The 22,461-nt window shown below is 45.1% G+C and overlaps 1 protein-coding gene across 1 annotated transcript in view; it reads left to right on the top strand.

Annotated features, from left to right (window-relative positions):
* MYH13 (myosin heavy chain 13) overlaps positions 1–22,461 on the top strand; it is a 72,142-nt gene that overhangs the window by 7,205 nt on the left and 42,476 nt on the right. The window contains exons 3-16 of the mRNA NM_003802.3: positions 1,260–1,475; positions 3,299–3,442; positions 3,528–3,684; positions 5,614–5,641; positions 5,731–5,842; positions 7,975–8,067; positions 10,655–10,718; positions 10,809–10,907; positions 11,019–11,122; positions 15,108–15,246; positions 19,004–19,122; positions 20,186–20,335; positions 20,430–20,600; positions 21,693–22,002. Coding sequence (NP_003793.2) covers positions 1,272–1,475; positions 3,299–3,442; positions 3,528–3,684; positions 5,614–5,641; positions 5,731–5,842; positions 7,975–8,067; positions 10,655–10,718; positions 10,809–10,907; positions 11,019–11,122; positions 15,108–15,246; positions 19,004–19,122; positions 20,186–20,335; positions 20,430–20,600; positions 21,693–22,002 — 1,894 coding nt within the window. The 5' untranslated portion in view covers positions 1,260–1,271. The remainder of the gene's footprint in view (positions 1–1,259; positions 1,476–3,298; positions 3,443–3,527; positions 3,685–5,613; positions 5,642–5,730; positions 5,843–7,974; positions 8,068–10,654; positions 10,719–10,808; positions 10,908–11,018; positions 11,123–15,107; positions 15,247–19,003; positions 19,123–20,185; positions 20,336–20,429; positions 20,601–21,692; positions 22,003–22,461) is intronic.

Below are 22,461 nucleotides of genomic sequence, written 5' to 3'. Positions count from 1 at the left end.
CAATATTTGTCACACCCTGACACCGCCACGCACAAAGTTTAGAGACCGCGTTTAGAGTTTAGAGGCCCAGTACTTCCCCATCTCCTATGCATAGAAATTACCTGGGGATCTTGTTAAAAAGCAGGTGCTGATCCCATTATCTTGGGTGGGTCTGAGATTCTGCATTTCTTAATGAAGTCCTGCATGAAGCTGCTGCATTTCAAGGACCACCCTGGGAACAGGAAGGCACTATGCCAGCCATCCTCAGTGTGGTCCCTGGATCAGCAGCATCTGCATCACCTGGGAACTTGCTAGAAATGCCCATTTTTGGGCCCCACTTCAGGCCTACTGAATCAGAAACCATGGGGATAGGGCCCGTAATCTGTGCTTTAACAACCCCTCAAGGGGATTCTGGCATGTTAAAGTTTGGGACCATTGCCCTGGGCCATTTTGCCTCCCATCATCTTGTTATTTAAACAAATGTGACAAATCTTCATGTTCAAGTCATTCACTTTTCACGGGGCTAACCAAAATGTCTATTAAGAATTATCAGCATTCCAGTGACGATTTTCAAATATTCTTAAGATTTTAAACTGACACTGAGATCACAGGCTCAAACACGATGAGCGATTTAGAAAGTGCTTCCTAGGATGGAGGCGGTGGCTCACGCCTGTAATCCCAGCACTTTGGGAGGTCAAGGCGGGCAGATTACCTGAGGTCAGGAGTTCAAGACCAGCCTGGCCAACATGGTTAAACCCTCTCTCTACTAAAAATATAAAAAAAATAGCTGGGTGTGGTGGTGGGCACCTGTGATCCCAGCTACTCAGGAGGGGAGGGAGGAGAATCGCTTGAACCTGGGAGGCGGAGGTTGCAGAGCCGAGATCGAGCCATTGCACTCCAGCCTGGGTGACAGGAGCAAAACTCTGTCTCAAAAGAAAGAAAGAAAGAAAGTGCTTCCTGAAGCCTCTTTTATTGAGTTCACCATGGCTCTAATTGATTCAGACATGCACACATGGGACTGAACTAAAATATTCCCAAAATCGACACTCAGAGGATAAAAAAAAAAACCTTCATACTTTTTTGTTAGAATAAAATATCCCCTTTAGCTTATTCCCACTTGCACACTTTAAGCTCCTAGACCTGGCCATAGATCCCTCAGGACCTATGTTCAATCTAGGAGCCTTTGAATCTGGCCCCGTTTTAATAGAATAAGGGTAGGGGCCCTGCAGCTTCAGCAGTCACCCAAGCACAAGACTCAGCAGTCCCTCTGGTCTTCCCAGCCCTCTGCAGTCATGAGCTCTGACGCAGAAATGGCCATTTTTGGAGAAGCAGCTCCCTACCTCCGGAAACCAGAGAAGGAGAGAATCGAGGCTCAAAATCGTCCATTCGATTCCAAGAAAGCCTGCTTTGTAGCGGATAATAAGGAAATGTATGTGAAAGGCATGATCCAGACTAGGGAAAATGACAAAGTCATAGTCAAGACCCTCGATGACCGGGTGAGTGTTGATTACAGATGTCTTTGATAATATGGGCATGCTCATTTTTCTTTGGAGTAGAATATTAGAAATTGCATGCTGGTCCTTCGGAATCTGAAGACAGAACAAAACTTAGTTTATCTGTTCTGCGGTGAAGTAGCAGATGAAAGCTGCTATTACATGCACCTTCACTCTTGCCTCTTTCCTTCTCCAAGGACTTGGGCTTTGAGGGGTTTTGTGGTGTTTGCTTTAGAGGAAAGCAGCAGGTGAGGGCAGAAAAGGTTGGTCTATTTAAGGAAGAGGCTGATACTGGATGGGCCGACCAATTATACCTCTCTGGGCTGCAGAGTGGCTGCTACAGAGGAAGCTCAGGAGCCATTGACTCACTTAATGTGGAGAATTATCATGTACCATTCAGTACTTACCGGACATCTACCAGGTCTAGGTCATAGCATTGATCGCTTTGCAAATATAAGCATACCTCTGCACCTGCTTTCCCAAAGTTTCCCAAAGATGTATATGGCAGGTATGAATCTCATTTCACAAACTCAGGCATATGAGAGAGACCTTGCTTTTATTTTTTGTTATTAAACTTAACCTCTAATTCCAGTCCTTTTTCAGTGGGCTGGGGAAAAATGTGTTCAGTCACTCTTGGGGTGCCCTCACCACCGCCTCAGGAATATGTCACATTTTCAGAACCTTACACAGCACTACACGGGGGACTCACAGCCTCCCTGGAGGATTTATTCAGAAACAAGTCCCAGTCCTTAAAGATTCAGGATACATAGACTTTTCTACCTCCCCTTTGGCTACCTTGGGTGTCTGTTTCTCTTTTTCTAGTCTTGGGTGGTGGAGTGGAAGGCCTTTCCTTCCTCAAAAAATTTGGTCTATACCAGCAAAACTCCTTCCTTTTATCTTTTCTGTGAAACCCTCAAAGTTTTCCTAAGGACTTAGGTTTTTGGAAAACAAAATCCAGGAAGTATTACAAGCTCTTTTTCTTTTCTTGCCCTATTTTTTTTTTTTTTTTTTTTTGAGACGGAGTCTCACTGTGTCGCCCAGGCTGGAGTGCAGTGGCGTGATCTCGGCTCACTGCAAGCTCCGCCTCCCGGATTCACGCCATTCTCCTGCCTCAGCCTCCCTAGTAGCTGTTCTTGCCCTATTTTCTGTCTCTCCTGAGCCATGGAGTGCAGAGCCAGCTTGAATGGGGGAGAGAGGTGGGAAAAAAACAGAGGGAAAAAAAATTAAATAATATTCTGAAAATATTCAGCAAAGAACCATGATGCACCCCCAAATGTCTGAACTATTAGAGCAGAGGTACAAATAATTATGGGAGCCTTGAAGCAATAGGGGAGAGAGGAGATGGGTCGTGGAAGAGTTGGTGCTAGAGCTGAGCTTTGAAGGTTTCTAAACAAAATTTTCATGAAGACATTCCAGCTGAAGGAAACCTCATGAGCAGAGATTTTGAGGTGGAAAAACACAGAACACTTTGGAGCAGTTCTTTGTAACCTTCCAACCTTTGTCTCATCACAGCACTCACAACAAATAGGGTAAACAGAGGCAAAGGGCTCCAAAGCTCTGCACACCTGTAACCCACTCCTGGTACACACGACAGCAGGATGACTGAGGGGCATCAGACCAGAATTGGTTACATAGTTTGACCAGAATCAGATTCTTCAAGAACTGTTATTTATGGATCATGTTGGGGCATGGAAATGATCCATGAAATTATCCATCACAATGCGGTAATTCCTCCACAATATCTCACTACTTCCACCACACCAGTAAAGTGCAATGTGGGCACTTGGCTCACCAATTTATTACCTGCTTTTCCTCTCAATACCCAGATGCTCACTCTGAACAATGACCAGGTCTTCCCCATGAACCCTCCCAAATTTGACAAGATCGAGGACATGGCCATGATGACTCACCTGCATGAACCTGCTGTTCTGTACAACCTCAAAGAGCGCTATGCAGCCTGGATGATCTACGTGAGTGTCTGTAAACACCTTTTTATTTCATGTCTCTCTCTGAGTAAAAACGAGATCCAAATGATAAATGTTCTGATCTTCCCAGACCTACTCAGGCCTCTTCTGTGTCACCGTCAACCCCTACAAGTGGCTGCCGGTGTACAAGCCCGAGGTGGTGGCTGCCTACAGAGGCAAAAAGCGCCAGGAGGCCCCGCCCCACATCTTCTCCATCTCTGACAATGCCTATCAGTTCATGCTGACTGGTGAGTAATTTCTTTGATTCATATTTTTTGAAGCCATCCTTAGTTAATTTTTCAAGCTTTTGATGGGCGTTGGCCATCTGAATGGTGCAATAATCAAAGGATCTTCGGAGAGTCAGATGATTTGGGGATGAAAAGCAAAGGGTACAACATCTTCCATTGCCAGTCACAGTGCATGACAAGGCCTGTGATTATGGCTGAAGCTACACTGAGCTCTTGCTTATTTGGGAGAATGTGGAACACAAGGAGATGCCCTACCTTTGTCCCCAGGGAACCCCCAATCCAGGTGTACTTTGAAGAGAAACCATATCAGTAGCCACTCAGGGAATGCTACGTTGGAGAAATGGGTAAAGCAGTGTTCCTGCGTTCTTCCCCAAACTCAGGCTCCCCTTCACCTCCTTTAATTTCCAGAATGACCTGGGGAGTAAGGACATGGTAACACTGTCATGCCATGATGCCTAATATCAAGTCTGTCTGTTCAACCTTCACCTGACTTGACTTGGAACAGATGCTAGAAGTAGAAGCAAGGCTGGGTGCGGTGGCTCACACCTGTAATCCCAGCACTTTGGGAGGCCGAGGCAGGTGGATCACCTGAGGTCAGGAGTTCGGGGCCAGCCTGGCCAACATGATGAAACCCTCTCTCTAGTAAAAATACAAAAAAATTAGCCAGTCATGGTAGTGGGTGCCTGTAATCCCAGCTACTCAGGAGGCTGAGGCAGGACAATTGCTTGCACCTGGGAGGAGGAGGTTGCGGTGAGCTGAGATCTCGCCACTGCACTTCAGCCTGGGCAAAAAGAGCAAAACTCCGTCTCAAAAAAAAAAAAAAAAGAGTCTAGCATCTGAATCTGAGACCTGTAGATGCTTAAAAATCATCTAATGCAATGGTGTCCAAACTTCTGTCATTTCTGTCTCACAATCACAATCCTTGCCATGTCTGCAAACTTAATATTTTTCTTGAAATTAGTTCATGTTACATTAATTTTAAAGGGAAGACTAATACCACAATTTCTATTAGTTTGCTATGGCTGCTCCAGTATCACAGACTGGGGGGCTTACACAATAGAAATGTACTTTCCCACAGTTCTAGAGGATTGAAGTCCGAAGTCAAGGTGTCATCAGGATTGGTTAGTCTGAGGACGCTGAGAGAGAATCTGGCCCATGTCTCTCTCTCCTAGCTTCTATGGTTTGCTAGCAGAAATCTTTGTTGTTTTTTATTTGTAGAAGCATCACCCTGATCCCTGCCTTAATCTTCATATGGCATTCTCCCCATGTGCTTGTGTGTCTCCAAATTTCTTCTGTTTATAAGGATACCAGTCATATTAGATCAGGGGCTTGCCCTACTCCAGCATGACCTCATCTTGAGTAATTACCCCTGCATCTTGTTTACATCTTATTTCCAAATAAGGTCATATTCTGAGGTACTAGGGGTTAGAAATTCAATATGTGAATTTTAGGAGGACACAGTTCAATCCATGCTCTATTGTAAATGAAAAACCAGTATCACTTTTCACAAGTAGAAGGTAAAGGTAAAAGAAAAATGCAATGAAACCAACCAGCATCTATAAATGCTGATGAAAAGCTGTGGCCCCACAAGCTCTGAACCTGACACTTGCTTTCTTTATGGAAAAGGGCGATGGGAAAGGACTAGCAGGGAGTTAAAGATCTATAAACATGAGTAACTTCTACACTGTGGGATTCACTACAGTGAGTAGAGAATCATTCACCTCCCAGGCTGGTCATGTTGCACATCCCACATTTGAGAAATCTGCCTAAATTGTCCCAAAGAAGATTAGACATGCCCAAATCATACCAGTGGTTAATGGCAAAGACATTAACTAGAGCCTATGTTCTCCAACCACCCCCAATGTTACTTTATTTTAACATTCTGTTTGTTGTTTATTTGTTTTGTTTTGCTTCCCTCTGCATTTCTAGATCGAGACAACCAGTCTATCCTCATCACGTGAGTAACACCTCTTTGTACCATCATGACTTGGAAACCAGTGCCCTCCCTTCCACTCTCCTTTATCCCGTTTACTTTTAAATTGGCAGCGGAGAATCCGGGGCTGGGAAGACTGTGAACACCAAGCGTGTCATCCAGTATTTTGCAACAATTGCAGTTACCGGGGACAAGAAGAAGGAGACACAGCCAGGCAAAATGCAGGTGAGCAGCCCCACCTGCATCCGGAGGCTTACTGGAATAAGTATACTTTAAAGCGTGGATGAGCACCAAGTGTATGCAGGGTATGCGCTCAGTAGAAACGGCAAATAGGAAAAATTCTTTCTTTCCTCTCTGTATCCTCACACAGAACGTGTCTGCCATCAAATGTATGGGGTTTTTCCATGCCAAACAATTCTCTAATTCTCTGCAGACACCAACTGGGTGTCCTACAATTCAATTCAATTCTGATACTAACTACCTAGAGAAAGCATCAAATCACACAAGTTAAGGGCTCAGTCCTGCAAAACTGACCCCACTTTGGATACCAGGGACCAGTCCGGGCCTCCTGAACTTCTAAGCAAGCAGCTATTAATTGGGAGGAGCTCACGACCCCCGTCTCAGGTTTGGTAATTACCTAGAGTGCTTCACAGAACTCAGAGAAACACTTTGCTTACATTTGCCAGTTTGTTATAAAGGCTGTTACAAAGGATGCAGAGGAAAAGCCAAGTGGAAAAGATGTCTAGGGCAAGGTATGGGGGAGGGGCAGGGTCTCTGCAGGTGACATCCTCCCAGTACCTCTAGGTGTTCATCAACCTGGAACCTCTCTGAAGCCTTCTGTGTAGGGTTTTTATAGAGGTTGCATTACATGAGCATGATTAATTAAATCACTGGCCATTGATGATTGACTCAACCTCCAGCCCTTCTTTCCTTCCCAGGGGTCAGGAATAGGGCTGAAAGTTCCAACTCTCTAATCACGCGGTTGGTTCCCTGGCAGCCAGCCCCCATCCTGAGCTGTCCAGGACCCCGAAGCCACCAATCATCTCATTAGCACACAAAAAGACATTTATCACTTCAGATATTCCAAGGGTTTTAGGAGCTGCGTACCAGGAAACTGGAAAAAGACCAAAATATACCATTCCTATTACATCACAGTATCACATGGAGCAAAGCAGGAAGTGGTTCCACCAGAATGGACTTGAGTTCTAGCACCAGCTCCATCACCTACAGTTGAGGGACCTTGACCAACTCCACATCCTCCTCTGGAGAAGGAATGTTTACACCAGTGGTTTTCAAACTGGAGTACACATCAGAATCAACAGGAGAGATTCTTAACAAAGGGCGGCAGAACCCAGGCCCAGAATTCCTGATTGTGTAGATCTAGGGTGGGACCTCATAGTTTGCATCTTTTTTTCCTTTTTATTTTGGAGAGACAGGGTCTCACTCTGTCACCCAGGCTGGAGTACAGTGGCACACCATCATAGCTCACTGTGACTTCAAACTCCTGGGCTCAAGCGATCATCCTTCAGCCTTCCAAGTAGCTAAGACTACAGGAACCACCATGCCTGGCTAGTTTTTTTTTAATTTTTTGTAGAGATGGAGTCTCACTATCTTTCCTAGGCTGGTATCAGACCGTTGGCCTCAAGTAATCCTCCTGCCTCAGCCTTCCAAAGTGCTAATTACGAGTGTGAACTACCATACCTGGCATTTCTCATATATTCCCAGGTAGTGTTCATGCTGCTGGTCCAGGGACCACACTTTGAGAACCACTAGGTTTGACAGTAGTTTCTAAATTGCTCTGGACCCAGAAGGATAAAGCAGTCATGGAGGTGAAGGTGAAAACTCTGCTTTCTGTAGTGGATTTCTGAATAATCATTCTCATAAGTTTTTGCTACATAAAAAACCTTTTTGAGAACCACTGTTGTTATTGTATCATCCCCTGGGTCGCTTGCTTTGCTCACATTCTATTTCTCCTTCTGAAGACAAATATCTATATTAGGTGGGTCATATTACATGCAATAACAGAGGTGCATGTTATAAAAATCCATGATTTATAATGAAATGTTATCAGAAAGGCAGTCTGGATGTTCTGATGGAGGGAGTAATATTCCTGCCTAGAACCTGGCATGACCAGAAGTCACTTCAATGCTATGCTAATAAGAACCTGTCTAAGATGGTACCTTGAAGACGCCTCAGGTCTGGTGGGGGTGGGGGCGTGGGTGCTGCACTGACCACCAGGTGGAGCTGGTCGACATCTCTACCTGAACCTGCCCAGAGTACCCACCGTTTTAGTCATCAAGGGGCTACTTTAGAAAACCATCCAAAGTCCTCTTTTTCCTCTTCTTGTTTATTATTAGGGAACCCTAGAGGATCAGATCATCCAGGCCAACCCACTGCTGGAGGCCTTTGGAAATGCCAAGACTGTGAGGAATGACAACTCCTCAAGATTTGTAAGATCCGGCCCAATTTTCAAGTATCCTCCCAAAAGCATACCCTCTCCTGAAATGCTGGATATGAAAAACTGCCCCATAAACTGGAATATATGGGGGCCTTTTTCTACCCCCAAGTGATTGAGATCAATCTACCCACCTGGAATATTGTGATACACTTTGAGGAAGGTGTTGGCTTGGTCCTGGCAGAGGGAGGATTTGCCGTCCTACCCTAACTAGGCAATGTCACCTCACAGCATCCTGAAGTCACTCACATGATTCAAATCCCACAATTAGAGATCAACTTTATGCTAAAATGGGTCTCTCTGTGTGGAAACATTTTAAAATGTTAACGTCCATTAAGCCATATCTATTGGTCTAGCCACGGAAACCTTAGTGTGAATTAAGTTAGCAGATTTGACCTCTTCCAACTCAGTAGGGACTGGGAGCAGGGAAAACCTAGTGAAGGCAGAAGAGCTCAAAAATTTGAAATAGTCTGGGCGCGGTGGCTCACGCCTGTAATCCCAGCACTTTGGGAGGCTGAGGGGGGCGGATCACTTGAGACCAGGAGTTTGAGACGAGCCTGACCAGCATGACGAAACCCCATCTCTACTAAAAATACAAAAAATTAGCTGGGCATGGTGGCACATGCCTGTAATCCCAGCTACTTGGGAGGCTGAGGCAGGAGAATCGCTTGAACCCGGGAGGTGGAGGTTGCAGGGAGCCGAAGTTGCAACACTGCACTCCAGCCTGGGCAACAGAGGGCAACTCTGTCTCAAAAAAAAGAAAAAAATATTGGAATAGATTCATACTGAAGATATTGAAGGATATATGCCATCCTTCAACTTTTTACTTAGGTTTGGCTTAATCAAAAAGACATTTACTTCCCATCGGAAATAAACACACATCCAGCCCTCTATTTCATTTCACTGGCCAGTGGAGCAAGTACTCAGAGGCAAAGCCATCATTTGTGCCTATGGTTGCAAAAGTACATTAAAACTTCACACATCTTAATAGTTGGATAGTCTCAAACTTGTATTTCGTCGCCTGAAAGATAAAATGGTTATCAATGAGGAAGTAGGTAATCCATCAAGGACCATGGCTCTGAGCCTTGACTTTTGTTTCCTTGGATATGTTCTTTGTACCCTGTGCACTGCCAGTTTGCACCTGTATCCTCCCCAGTGCCCAAATAAACTCCTCTTCCTTGTGGAAGATCTGGGCACATGTTACATGGCAGAGGTATGTTACCCATGCCTGGACCAAGTTAGTTATTGCACTGGCCTGACACCAGCTTAAAGTGAAAGACAATACCTTCAGGCACTCCCTCTTCTCATTCCCATTTACTTAGTTCATGGGCCTCTACTCTTAGCCCTGACCCAGAAGTCACAATCATTCTAATTATTTTGTCCTCTTTCCACCCTCCAAATATTTGCAGGCTAGGGATGACTTCCATTGTCTTCTGTTAAGCCGCTAAATATACTGAAGACACAGCACTTACAGTGCACATGTGCCTTTACTGATCCTTCACTAACTTTTCCTGGGGTTCATTCAGAAAATATTGAGGCTAGTACTAAGTACCATCCACATTTCAGACACTGTGGGTGAAAAAGCAAGAAAACATTTTTTGTCCTCAAATTTGCGCACAGTGTCGTTGAGGACCAATTAAGCAGATAATGTATGAAGCAGGTGCATACACACAAACACGCATATGAAATTTTACCTCCCACTCCCCAGAAAGTGGGCCACCTAGACCCTGAGTTGTTCTTTTGGCAGCCAGGGAGCCAGGCCTGAGCCTGAGCCCGGGCCTCTGAGCCAGATTTGTCTGTAGTCAGCCATATGTGAAACTCAGGCAAGAAATCTCAGAAGTAGCATCTATTAAGATACAAGCAAAAAAAAAAAAAAAAAAAAAAAAAAAAAAAAAAAAAAAGTCAGACAGAACAATCCAACCAGTTACAATTAAAAGGTGTTATGAAGATTTAAGAATCCAGGTATAAGAGAACAGGATGAAAACCAGGCAGGCAGTCAAGAATGGAGTAGTCCCAAGAAGAGAGCTGGAGAAGGAGCCTGTGGGCATCCCCTGAGTTGTGGGAACAGGGACAGGTGCTTGGGTAGAGCTACCTGAGTCCTTGCTGACCCAGCTTGGGAGCACTGGGCACCCGGTGGAGAGGTGCCCATGTTCTGGCATCCCTTCCTTCTGAGCCAAGGAGAGGTCATGGTGGCCAATATCAATGACAGTGAAGAATTGTTGGCGACAGATGTAAGCATGCCATTTATTTGTTTGTTTACGGACAGAATTATTGAGTTTATGAACTGAGAGACATGTTAGTGAGCTAATGGGAAAACTGAAATCCAGGGATACTAAGTGATTAGACTCAAGATCTCAGACATCAAGGGCTCAGAGAATCAGCACAGATTGGCCCCTCCCTACTCAGCTCCTCCTCACAGCATTCCAAAATGCAAATCCAGAAGGTTCACCAAAGCAGGCCTTCAGTTCTGTTCTCTAGCATTTTTGCATTTATAATTTATCTGTGGCAGCACCTATCTAAGGCCAGCCACAAAACCATATAAATCAAATAACCGTAACATTTGTCCACCTGTTATTGGACAGGGGAAGTTCATTCGGATTCATTTTGGAGCCACAGGAAAGCTGGCATCGGCAGACATCGAAACTTGTGAGTCCAAACACTCTATAAATCCGTTGGTGTTTTGGCCACAAAAGCATCTCTTGGGAGCCTGAAATCACGTTATTTTTGTTACCTTAGATCTGTTAGAAAAATCCAGAGTGACGTTTCAATTATCCAGTGAGAGAAGCTATCATATTTTCTACCAAATTATGTCAAACAAGAAGCCAGAACTAATTGGTAAGCTCTTGGAATACCTTTCTTATGTTCCAAATCGGTGACGTTGGGAAAAAAAAAACAACCCAGAGTAAGTTATGCATAAGCCATTAAAGGGATATCTGTGTTTCACAGACCTGCTTCTGATCTCCACCAACCCCTTCGACTTCCCCTTCGTGAGCCAAGGAGAGGTCACGGTAGCCAGTATCGATGACAGTGAAGAACTGCTGGCGACAGATGTAAGCATGCCATTTATTTGTCTGTTTATGCACAGAATTATTGAGTTTATGAACTGAGAGACACGTTAGTGAGCTAATGGGAAAGCTGAAATCCAGGGATACTAAGTGATTAGACTCAAGATCTCAGAGATCAAGAGCTCAGAGAATTAGCACAGATTGGCCCCTCCCTACTCAGCTCCACCTCACAGCATTCCAAAATGGAAATCCAGAAGGTTCACCAAAGCAGGCCTTCAGTTCTGTTCTCTAACATTTTAACTGGAATGCATTTTTGCATTTATAAGATCTTTAACCTAACATTCGTTGAAAGTTTTCATGTTGCAAAACCATCTACATGGTTCTTCAAGAAAATTTAGAAAATATAAAAATGTATAAAGCAGAAAACCAAGCCCACTCTGTAATAGCCTCTCCATTTTTCTTTCTGCCTTTCACTTTAGGCTCACCTTAGACACTCAGCTCCTCAGTACACCTGTCAGGCCTGTGGTGTTTATTTTGGGGAAGTACCTGTAGGATTAATAATCTTAATAACAATAATAACCAAATATATTGAGCACTTACATGTGCCAGGCACTGAGATAAGTGGCTTTACCTGCATTGTCTCATTATAGTCTCAAAATTATGTCATTATTGTCTCCATTTTACAAATGTGGAAGCTGATTCTTAAAATATATATAATTTTCTGGAAGACACAATTCGTCAATGACAGAGTCTTTCCCTTCCTTCCTTCCTTCCTTCCTTCCTTCCTTCCTTCTTTCCTTCCTTCCTCTCTCTCTCCTTCTTTCTTCTCTTCTTTTCTTTTCTTTCTTTTTTCAGACAGAGTCTCGCTCTGTCGCCCAGGCTGGAGTGCAATGGCATGATCTCAGCTCACGGCAACCTCCGCCTCCTGGGTTCAAGAGATTCTCTTGCCTCAGCCTCCCAAGTAGCTGGAACTACAAGGCATGCACCACCATGCCTGGCTAATTTTGTGTGTGTGTATTTTTAGTAGAATTGGGGTTTCGCCATGTTGGCCAGGCTGGTCTCAAACTCCTGATCTCTGGTGATCCACCCAGCTCAGCCTCCCAAAGTGCTGGGATTACAAGCATGAGCCACTGCACCAGGCCCAATGACAGAGTATTTAAACACAGGTCTGCCTAACTACAGAGCTTACATTTTTAATTAAAGTATACCGTCTGTGAGCAATTCATCTCCACCCTTGTTGGCTCCACCCATACAAAAGCTTCAAGAGCTTGCGAAAAGGGGTCTTGTCCATCATCCTAGAGACACTGCCCCATGACCAGCTTCTTAGCCTTCATTTGGTGACATTTCCAGCTGATAATAATTGTTTTAACACAAATAGAAAAATTTTCATGATCAAATAAACTTGTTATCTTAGGTCTAATAGTGTTAAAAGAAAAATTTGAGACAAATTAAATTTAGCAGAGTTTATTTGTGCAAAGAATGATTCATGAGTTGGACCACACTCAGCACCTGGAGAGGCTCAGAGAGCTCCACCCAGCAACATGGCAGGCAGTATTTATAGGCAGAAAAAGGAAGTGACATACAGAAACAGCTTGATTAGGTACAGGTCTGCCTTTGCCTTATCTGCAGGTGGTGTGATGAAGCATTTGTGTTATATGCACAATGGCCCATCAGTTTGGCAGCCTGTGATTGGCTGAAGCTCAGCTGCTGTGATTGGCTGAGACTCAGCTGCTGTGATTGGCTGAAGCTCAGCTGCTGTGATTGGCTGAAGCTCAGCTGCTGTGACTGGCTGAGACTCAGCTATTTGTTACAAGAATATACTCTTAGGTTGCAGTTTGTTTACATACTAATTTAGGTTATAGTTTGCTATGTATGGAGGCAGTTTTAGACCAAATTTAATTTAAGTTGTTATATATTTTTAATGAGGTTTCCCCAGTCTTCACTAACTTGTAAGCACAGAAAGGGCCAGGCTAATGACTGCTACAAGGCCCCCATCCACTGAGAAAGGCCCACCTAAGGAATTCTAAAAGTCACCTTACCTAAGTCATGTCCTCACCAAGATGCCTTCTGCCAGATGCGGCTGTTGCTCCTTCCTCTCACGGAGCCTTTTTTTGGTTTTTTGTTTTTTGTTTTTTTTGAGATGGAGTCTCGCTCTGTCCCCAGGCTGGAGTGCAGTGGTGCGATCTCGGCTCACTGCAACTTCTGCCTCCCAGGTTCAAGCAATTCTCTGCCTCAGCCTCCCAAGTAGCTGGGATGACAGGCACCTGTCACCACGCTCGGCTAATTTTTGTATTTTTAGTAGAGAAGGGGTTTCCCCATGTTGGCCAGGCTGGTCTTGAACTCCTAGCCTTGTGATCCACCCACCTCGGCCTTCCAAAGTGCTGGGATTACAGATGTGAGCTACCGCGCCTGGCCTCACGGAGCTTTTATAGCCTGCCTGGTATAGTCTCCCTTTTTATGAACTCAAAGTCAACTGATTGGTAACTTCATAATGGGAGTGACATCCCATCATATACCCAGGTTCCACCTGCACCCCTTTGGAGATGACATTCTCCAAAAGGGTCCCCAGGCAGTGACGCTTTCACCTGCTCCTTTTAGTGTTTTTGAAAGAGTTCTTTCTCTTTTAACCTACAACGACCCTTCCCTAGGACAGAGATATGCAACCCTGAAATGGGATATGGATTCAAGGGATGGCCATCATGGCCTCGGAATCTCTCCTCCCCATATATCCCAGCTCCTGGCATAGGCTCATTCTCCACTAAAGGGGGTGCCACTCCAAGAATGCTTGACTCTCCAATATCATCCTGCTGGTGTTGGCCTATTGGGTCTATCCTACGTGCTCACCAAACACGTCCAAACATGTTTCAATCCTACCAATGGACACTCTACAGGCTCAGGCTGCAAACCCTACTGCATAATCAATATGTGTACCCCAGAGAAGGATTTCTTTTTGTTGAAACCTTTGTGGTGGAAGACAGGCAACATGATTATAAAACCAAACCAGCAATGACCCTAGGTTTTGAAGGGACCAAGACCTAACTCCAGTCCCAGTCTTATCACACCCTCCCTGTATGACAGGCTACTTACCAACTAGACCCTCAATTCTTCATCCAGAAATCTGGAAAAACCTGCACAGCTAAAGGGGCTTCATGGGGATTTAATAACATACAGATGATGCCTACCCAATGTCTAGCACATAGAAAGAGCTCTGCAAAAGCTTGCCCCTTTCTCATTTGGGAAATGATGATGCCATCTTTGATGATCTTCCCTTCCAGATCTAATATTCCATAATGCATATTGTCTTGAGTCTGAACAATGCTGGAACTCCTGGATTACAATGCCAAACTCTTAAGCCATTAAACATTATTTCCCAGTCATTCTCCATGACATTCCCAGCTCTCAGTATCATACAATGGTTCCCAATCGCCTCATCCAGAAAACTGCTCCCCCAAATCTATGTACAGTGAGAAAAGATCATAATCAGTTCTCTTTTTTTTTTTTTTTGAGATGGAGTCTCACTCTGTCTCCCAGGCTGGAGTGCAATGGTACAATCTTGGCTCACTCCAACCTCCGCCTCCCAGGTTCAAGTGATTCTCCTGCCTCAGCATCCTGAGTAGCTGGGACTACAGGTGCCAGCCACCATGCCTGGCTAATTTTTTGTATTTTTAGTAGAGATGGAGCGTCGCCATGTTGGCCAGGATGGTCTCAAACTCCTGACCTCGTAATCTGCCTGCCCTGGCCTCTCAAAGTGCTGGGATTACAGGCGTGAGCCACCGCGCCCGACTGTAATCAGTTCTTATTTGATGGAAGGAAACAGACAATTCACATCTTTTTCCCATAGTCTTCACCCACCCACACAAACACGTGAAACAAATGGTTTCTAATTTACCACATCCCCACCTGTCATCCACTTATTTGGGCAAATGCTGTCTCATATGCTATACAAAAAAGAGGTAAGGTCTTTGCCAAGAAAAGGCTGCATATGGATCCCTGATTCCTGCTATGACAGTTGTCCTTTTTTTCTTTCCAGAATGCCATTGACATCCTGGGCTTCAGCTCAGAGGAGAAAGTCGGGATCTACAAACTGACGGGAGCCGTGATGCATTATGGGAACATGAAGTTCAAGCAGAAGCAGCGTGAGGAGCAGGCGGAGCCAGACGGCACCGAAGGTAACTGCATCTGGGAAAGGGATGCGATTGGGTCCATCTATGTTCATGTGCGGGCGAGGCCGTGTGAGATAAACTGCATTCATTTCAAGAGCTGTTCTTCCAAAACTGCATAAATCAAATCTGGGTTTCCTGAAGCTCATTGTAGCATGCACTAGGAAGTCTGCTCACTCAGTCAAGGACTCCCAGAGTAGTGAATTCTTGAAAAACAAAAAGCATCATTCTTGTAAATGAATAATCACCACGCACTCCACTATCTTTCACCATCTAAATGTGCCTGTTTTTTTTAAGGTGGACTTTTTTGAGACAATATTGTTAGGTGAACTTCTCTTCTCTCCACCAGAATGCAGTCTTAATTACTCAGGCCTAAAATGAGGCCTTTGGTAAAGTGGGAGCCAAGTTTTGTTCCTCCCATCGCCTCCACCCCAGCGTCTGTTGAACTTGACCCTGAACCAAGAATGGTGAACGGTTCTTCCTCCCCATAACTCTCACCTAGCTGATCCTACTGCCACCCTCTGCCCCATCCCTAAGAGGCCTGGAACTAGAGCACAGGGCAGCAGGAAGGGCTGAGCAGTGACTGACTCCCCACCATACGTCCTGCTCATTAGACTTCTTAGCTCTCACGATGCTTCTTACAAGTTCCTTGAATTAAAGCCTGGCAACATGGATCGTTCTTGATAATTCTGCCTTTTGATTACAGCCCCACAGTATGTGAAGCAGTGCGCTTTAAACTCTCAAGTAATAAAAAGGAAGTGCAGCCATAAATTAAAGGGTGGGAAAATCTACATAACCTTATCAGTGTCCCATAAATGCTTACCAACCTTCTATCCTAGGCCTGCCTGGGATAATTCTCCCTTTTTGTTAACTCAAAGTCAACTGATTGGTCACCGCATCATGGGAGTTGTACAGGTTCCACTGCACTCAAGTAAAGGAGGTTATACAAGGCATGTACACCAGGGGGCACACCTTGGGTGCCATCCTAGAATCCTGCCCATCACAGTGGAGGGGACTCCAAGTCTTCACACAGGAAACACTTCTGACTGGGGCAATCAGGGAAGGCTTCCTGATAGAAGGGGCACTGACTTGGACTTTGAGGGATGAATAGGATTCTGAAAAATTGGGGGAGAGATCAGTTCAAGCAGAAGAAATGTCATGAGCAGGCTGGGCACAGCAGCTCACGCCTGTAATCCCAGCACTTTGGGAGGCCGAGGTGGGTGGATCATCTGAGGTTATAGGTCAAGACCAGTCTGGCCAACATGGTAAAACCCCTTCTCTACTAAAAATACAAATTAGCTGGGCATAATGGTGCCTGCCTGTATTCCCAGCTACTCGGGAGACTGAGGCAGGAGAATCACTTGATCCCGGGAGGTGGAGGTTGCAGTGAGCCAAGATTGTACCACTGCACTTCAGCCTGGGTGAAAATCGTGAAACTCCATGAAATAAAGAGAAAGAAAGAAAGAGAAAGAGAGAGAGAGGGGGAGAAGGGAAGGGAAGGGAAAGGAAGGGAAGGGAAGGGAAGGGAGAAGGAAGGGAGAAGGAAGGGAAGGGAAGGGAAGGGAGAAGGAAGGAAGGGTCATGTGCAAAGGGGCAGAGGATGAACTGTGATGGGGATGGAGGCACAGTGAGTGGTCCACTTTGGCTACAGAACAGGATATAAGCAGTGGATTTGTAAGAAATGAGAATTTTAAAGTAACAATTTTTGCATCAGTTTGGGAAGATCTTGAGTGTCAGGATGAATGGTTTAGAATATATGGCAGGCCACGGAAGCCGCTGTCCAAGTAGCAGGGGAAGTACATGCAGACAACCTGAAATTAATCTGTCAGCAGCCAGGCTCACCAAAAGTGGGAAAACTTGAGAAGAAAAAAAAAAGAGTATCAGGCTCCTCAGCAACAGTGGACTGCATTGATACACGTATTGATATACCTCAGTAGGGTCCCAGGCCCTCTTCCAGCCCTAGCAGCTGTGTGTGTGCAGTGCTTAGGAGCAGAAAGTGGAGGACTATAATCAAGGCCAGTGCTCCAATGATATCAATGACGATACCAACCCAAGCTAATATTTGCTGGGTGCTCACTAGTCACCAGGCATGCTTCACGACAACCGTATAACATGAGTATTGTCACTGTCTCCCATTTTACAGACAAAACTGAGGCACAAAGAAGCAAAACCAAAACCTAAACCTAAACCTAAACCTAGAGCAGTCCGACTCTAGAGCCCAGGCTCTTGGCCACTATAACTGCTGGAAGCAGTGGAGAGGCCAGGCATTTTGAGAGTGAAATAAGCAGGACTTGGTGCCTGTCTGAACAAAGGAATGTCAGGGGCAAGAGAGAGAAGGATGTATCACCCCTTTCAAGTTTAAATGACAAGAAGAAGAATAATGGTACCATCTACCTGAATGGGCAAAGCAAGAAAAGGAGATAATTCGAGGAGAGAGTAAAGCACGCATCTGGCCTCTGATTAAGTACTTAACATAGACTGCCCTAGATTTTTATTAACTCATCTCCCCACCCAGCAATGAAGCAAGGGTCCCAACCAAGAAGTTATCCCTGGGGGCTGGGCAAGGTGGCTCACACCTGTAATCCCAGCACTTTGGGAGGTGGGCAGATCACAAGGTCAGGAGATCAAGACCATCCTGGCCAACATGGTGAAACCCCATCTCTACTAAAATAAAAAAAAATTAGCCGGGCCTGGTGGTGGGTGCCTGTAATCCCAGCTACTCGGGAGGTGAGGCAGGAGAATGGCGTGAACCCAGGAGGCGGAGCTTGCAGTGAGCTGAGATCGCGCCACTGCACTCCAGCCTGGGCAACATTGAGAAACTCTGTCTCCAAAAAAAAAAAAAAAAAAAAAAAGAAGTAGTCCCTGGGGAGCAGCATTTCTCTGCCTTTTTGATGAGCTCAATGCAGGCCCCCAGGTCCTTCTCAAAGTCAATGAACGTCTGCTGAAATATATGAAAATATATAACCCATGAACTGTAGGAAACAGCCAAAAGTCAAGTGCTTTTGACCATCTCCAAACATTTGAAGGGAGGGTCAAGTTTTGTACTTCTCTTTCAACTATGAGCATGGTACTTTGCTTAAATTAGGAAGGTGCCTCATGTATATTGTCAACTGTCCAAGTGGTGGCTCCTTTACTCATATAACATTTTAACGTATTGTCAGACTCCAACATAACTATGTAATTAATTAATTTTTTTTTTGAGTCGGAGTCTTGCTCTTGTCACCCAGGCTGGAGTTCAATGGCACGATCTTGGCTCACTGCAACCTCTGCCTCCTAGGTTCAAGTGATTCTCCTTCCTCAGCCTCCCAAGTAGCTGGGACTACAGGCGCTTGCCACAATGCTTGGCTAATTTTTGTATTTTTAGTAGAGACAGGGCCATATTGGCCAGGCTGATCTCGAACTCCTGACCTCAGGTGATCCACCCGCCTTAGCCTCCCAAAACGCTGGGATTACAGGCATGAACCACCGTGCCTGGCCTGTAATCAACATTCTTTTATGAAATCGAAATATCAGTAGGTCAAAATTGGCCACGGAGTATCTTATTGTTAAAACTGCATCTAGGAGGCAAATTGGAAGTTCCTGAGAACCATGGGCCCCTGGATATGGGATTAAAGCTTCAGTGAACAAGTCCAGACCTGGTACAGATATGACAACATGAAAACATTTAAGAAAATTACAGAAAACACTTCTGGGAGAAGCCAGGGGCTGACTGGACACTTTAGCAGCTACTGTTTTTGCATGATGCCATTTTTTTCTCTTCCTTCAGTGGCTGACAAAGCCGGATACCTGATGGGACTGAATTCTGCAGAAATGCTGAAGGGCCTGTGCTGTCCAAGGGTGAAGGTTGGCAATGAATATGTCACTAAAGGGCAAAATGTCCAGCAGGTAATGGAGATGCTCTGAATCCAGTTGATTGAGATCTTTTGCTATTTGAGCCATTATCTTAAAGCTCCTTCAGTTGCAGGTATCAGAAATGCACATGAAATCAGCTTTCACATTAAGAGGAAGTTCATTTTTAGGCTTCAGAGGCAACTGAAGGAATGCAAATCATTAAGTGCCCATTGGACGCCATGAGGACCTGGAATTAGAAAGTGAAGAGCCCTCTGGAGCCAGGCAGCCTCCCTCCAGCTCCTCTGGGATTCATGGGCTGTTGAGTCTCTCCTCTGTTGTGTCCTTGCTAGGCAGATAAGTTTCCTGGACCTCTCTTGCCCGTGGCCACCCCATAGCTCCCAAGTTTATATCTCTGTGTTTCCAGCCTCACCCTGAGACTGAGACCAGTGTCTTTTGATCCCTATTCCAAATTCTTAGGAGAGATACTCAATTAATCCAATCTGGATCAAGTGTTCACCTCTGGTCTAATTAAGTGTGGCCAGGGGCTGGAGTCATGTGCTATAACCATGTTGTTAGAAAAATATCTTTGTGAATAGGATAGTTCTCAAAGAAAGGTGAACAACATGAGCTGGGCAAACACCTCATAAAATATTTAATATTGCATTGAATGATCTGAAATTGCCAATATTCAACTGCTTTTGATTTTCTTTTTTTCTTTTGTTTTTTTTTTTTTTTTTTTTTTGAGACAGAGTCTCGCTATGTCACCAGGCTGGAGTGCAGTGGCACGATCTTGGCTCACTGCAACCTCCACCTCCCAAGTTCAAGTGATTCTCCTGCCTCAGCCTCCCGAATAGCTGGGACTACAGGCGCCTGCCACCACACCTGGCTAATTTTTGTATTTTTAGTAGAGACGGGGTTTCACCATGTTGGCCAGGATGGTCTTGAACTCCTGACCTCGTGATCCGCCCGCCTTGGCCTCCCAAAGTGCTGGGATTACAGGTGTGAGCCACCACGCCTAGCCAACAGCTTTTGATTTTCGAGTCAATTTCATATGTTTCAACTTAATGCAGCCATAGAAACACTAACTCAAGGGTTGAGTGGGTGATCCTTTTTCAAGGTGACCAATTCGGTGGGTGCTCTGGCCAAAGCCGTCTACGAGAAGATGTTCCTGTGGATGGTCACCCGCATCAACCAGCAGCTGGACACCAAGCAGCCCAGGCAGTACTTCATCGGGGTCTTGGACATTGCTGGCTTTGAGATCTTTGATGTGAGTTGTGACCTTCTACTTTCTTGTCTGCTTTGCTGAATCTCCAATGTATTTTCCAAGCTCACTCAAATTCTTTGGTATTTGAATCACCCAGTTCAACAGCCTGGAGCAGCTGTGCATCAACTTCACCAATGAGAAACTGCAACAGTTTTTCAACCACCACATGTTCGTGCTGGAGCAGGAAGAGTACAAGAAGGAAGGCATCGAGTGGGAGTTCATTGACTTCGGAATGGACCTGGCTGCCTGCATCGAGCTCATCGAGAAGGTAGAGAGATACTGCTGCCTGGGACAGCTCCTCCTTATTGGGGGCCCTCCCCTTCTTGCTCTGATTCTTTTCTGCTCACAGATTGGGGCCCCTAGCCCCCAGGCTGCAAGCCTTCAGATAGATAACTGAATGCCTATTTGCAAAGAGAATGAATGTCCTAAATCTGTTCTGACACTTAAAGAGGTTTACGGGTCATTAAAATCCAAGGGCTCAGTTATCTCCAAGAATGTGATGGAACCCCAGTAAGGACTGTGGCATTTCTTACCTATTTGACTTACCCAAAGACCCAAGGAGGCGGAACCATGGAGCAGTGTGGCTCTTGGAGGGATGTTAATATGAAAACAGGAATAGATATTAACTTTTTTTTTTTTTTTTTTTTTTGAGACGGAGTCTTGCTCTGTCACCCAGGCTGGAGTGCAGTGGTGCAGTCTCGGATCACTGCAACCTCCACCTCCCAGGTTCAAGCGATCCTCCTGCCTCCACCTCCTGAATAGTTGGGACTACAGGTGCCCGCCACCACGCCCAGATAATTTTTTTTTTCTTTTTTTTGTAGAGACGGGGTTTCACCATGTTGGCCAGGCTGGTCTCAAACTCCTGACCTTGTGATCCACCCACCTCAGCCTCCCAAAGTACTGGGATTACAGACGTGAACCACCACGCCCGGCCGACATTAACTTTTTAAAAAGGAATTCCCATAATATTTGAGCACTGCTCATGTTGGAATGAGTATATCTTCCTAAGGTGGCTACTGAGAAATTGGGACATTATTGTTCAAAATATTACTCACATTACTTTATGGCTATATATGAAACTTTACTTTTTTGTACACCTATTGAAAAAAGTATGCTAGGTTTATACACACATAATTTTATCCTATATTCTTTTGTTCAGCAAATATTAATTAAGCACATACTCTATGCCTAGCACTTTCTGGTCATCCCCCAAACAGACCAAGAGTCTTGCTCTCACCGAGCGTACATGCCAGCATTCCTGGTACCAGAGTGAAAGCACCAAAGAAGGTTTTTTGGCTTCTCCAGACCATGAAGCATGGGTATGCACTATTATATGTAGACTCTGTTATCCTCTTTCCAGCCTATGGGCATCTTCTCCATCCTGGAAGAGGAGTGCATGTTCCCCAAGGCAACAGACACCTCCTTCAAGAACAAGCTGTATGACCAGCATCTTGGAAAATCCAACAACTTCCAGAAGCCCAAGCCTGCCAAAGGCAAGGCTGAGGCTCACTTCTCGCTGGTGCACTATGCCGGCACCGTGGACTACAACATCGCCGGCTGGCTGGACAAAAACAAGGACCCCCTGAACGAGACTGTGGTGGGGCTGTACCAGAAGTCTTCGCTGAAGCTTCTCTCCTTCCTTTTTTCCAACTATGCTGGTGCAGAGACAGGTAAAATTCTATCATTTCTTTCCCTCTGTGGGACGTTCTATGTAATGACTCCTAACCCAGAGCTGCTTGTGAAGAACCAGTAATCAGACATGAGCTTCAGCTGAGTATGATGTTTCTCTTTCAGCTCCATTTTTCTTCCTCCTGCTCTTATTCTTCCTCTTCTGTAAGAGACTGGGCTCTATGGAGGTAAACAGGACCTCTCAGTGGCCAAGATAGTCAACATCACATTGTTTAATAGTTTTCTACTGAGGTATAATTCACATATAATAAAATTCACCCTTAAATCTATTTAGTGGTTTTGGCCAGGCATGGTGGCTCAGGCCTGTAATCCCAGCTCTTTGGGAGGCCAAGGCGGGGGCCGATCACTTGAGGTCAGGAGTTTGAGACCAGCCTGGCCAACATGGTGAAACCCCATCTCTACTAAAAATACAAAAATTAGCCGAGTGTGGTGGCACATAC

Source organism: Homo sapiens, chromosome 17, assembly GCF_000001405.40.
Source record: "Homo sapiens chromosome 17, GRCh38.p14 Primary Assembly".
Taxonomy (NCBI): Eukaryota; Metazoa; Chordata; class Mammalia; order Primates; family Hominidae; genus Homo; species Homo sapiens.
Note: the sequence above shows the minus strand (reverse complement) of the source record. Positions and strands in the feature narration are given on the sequence as shown.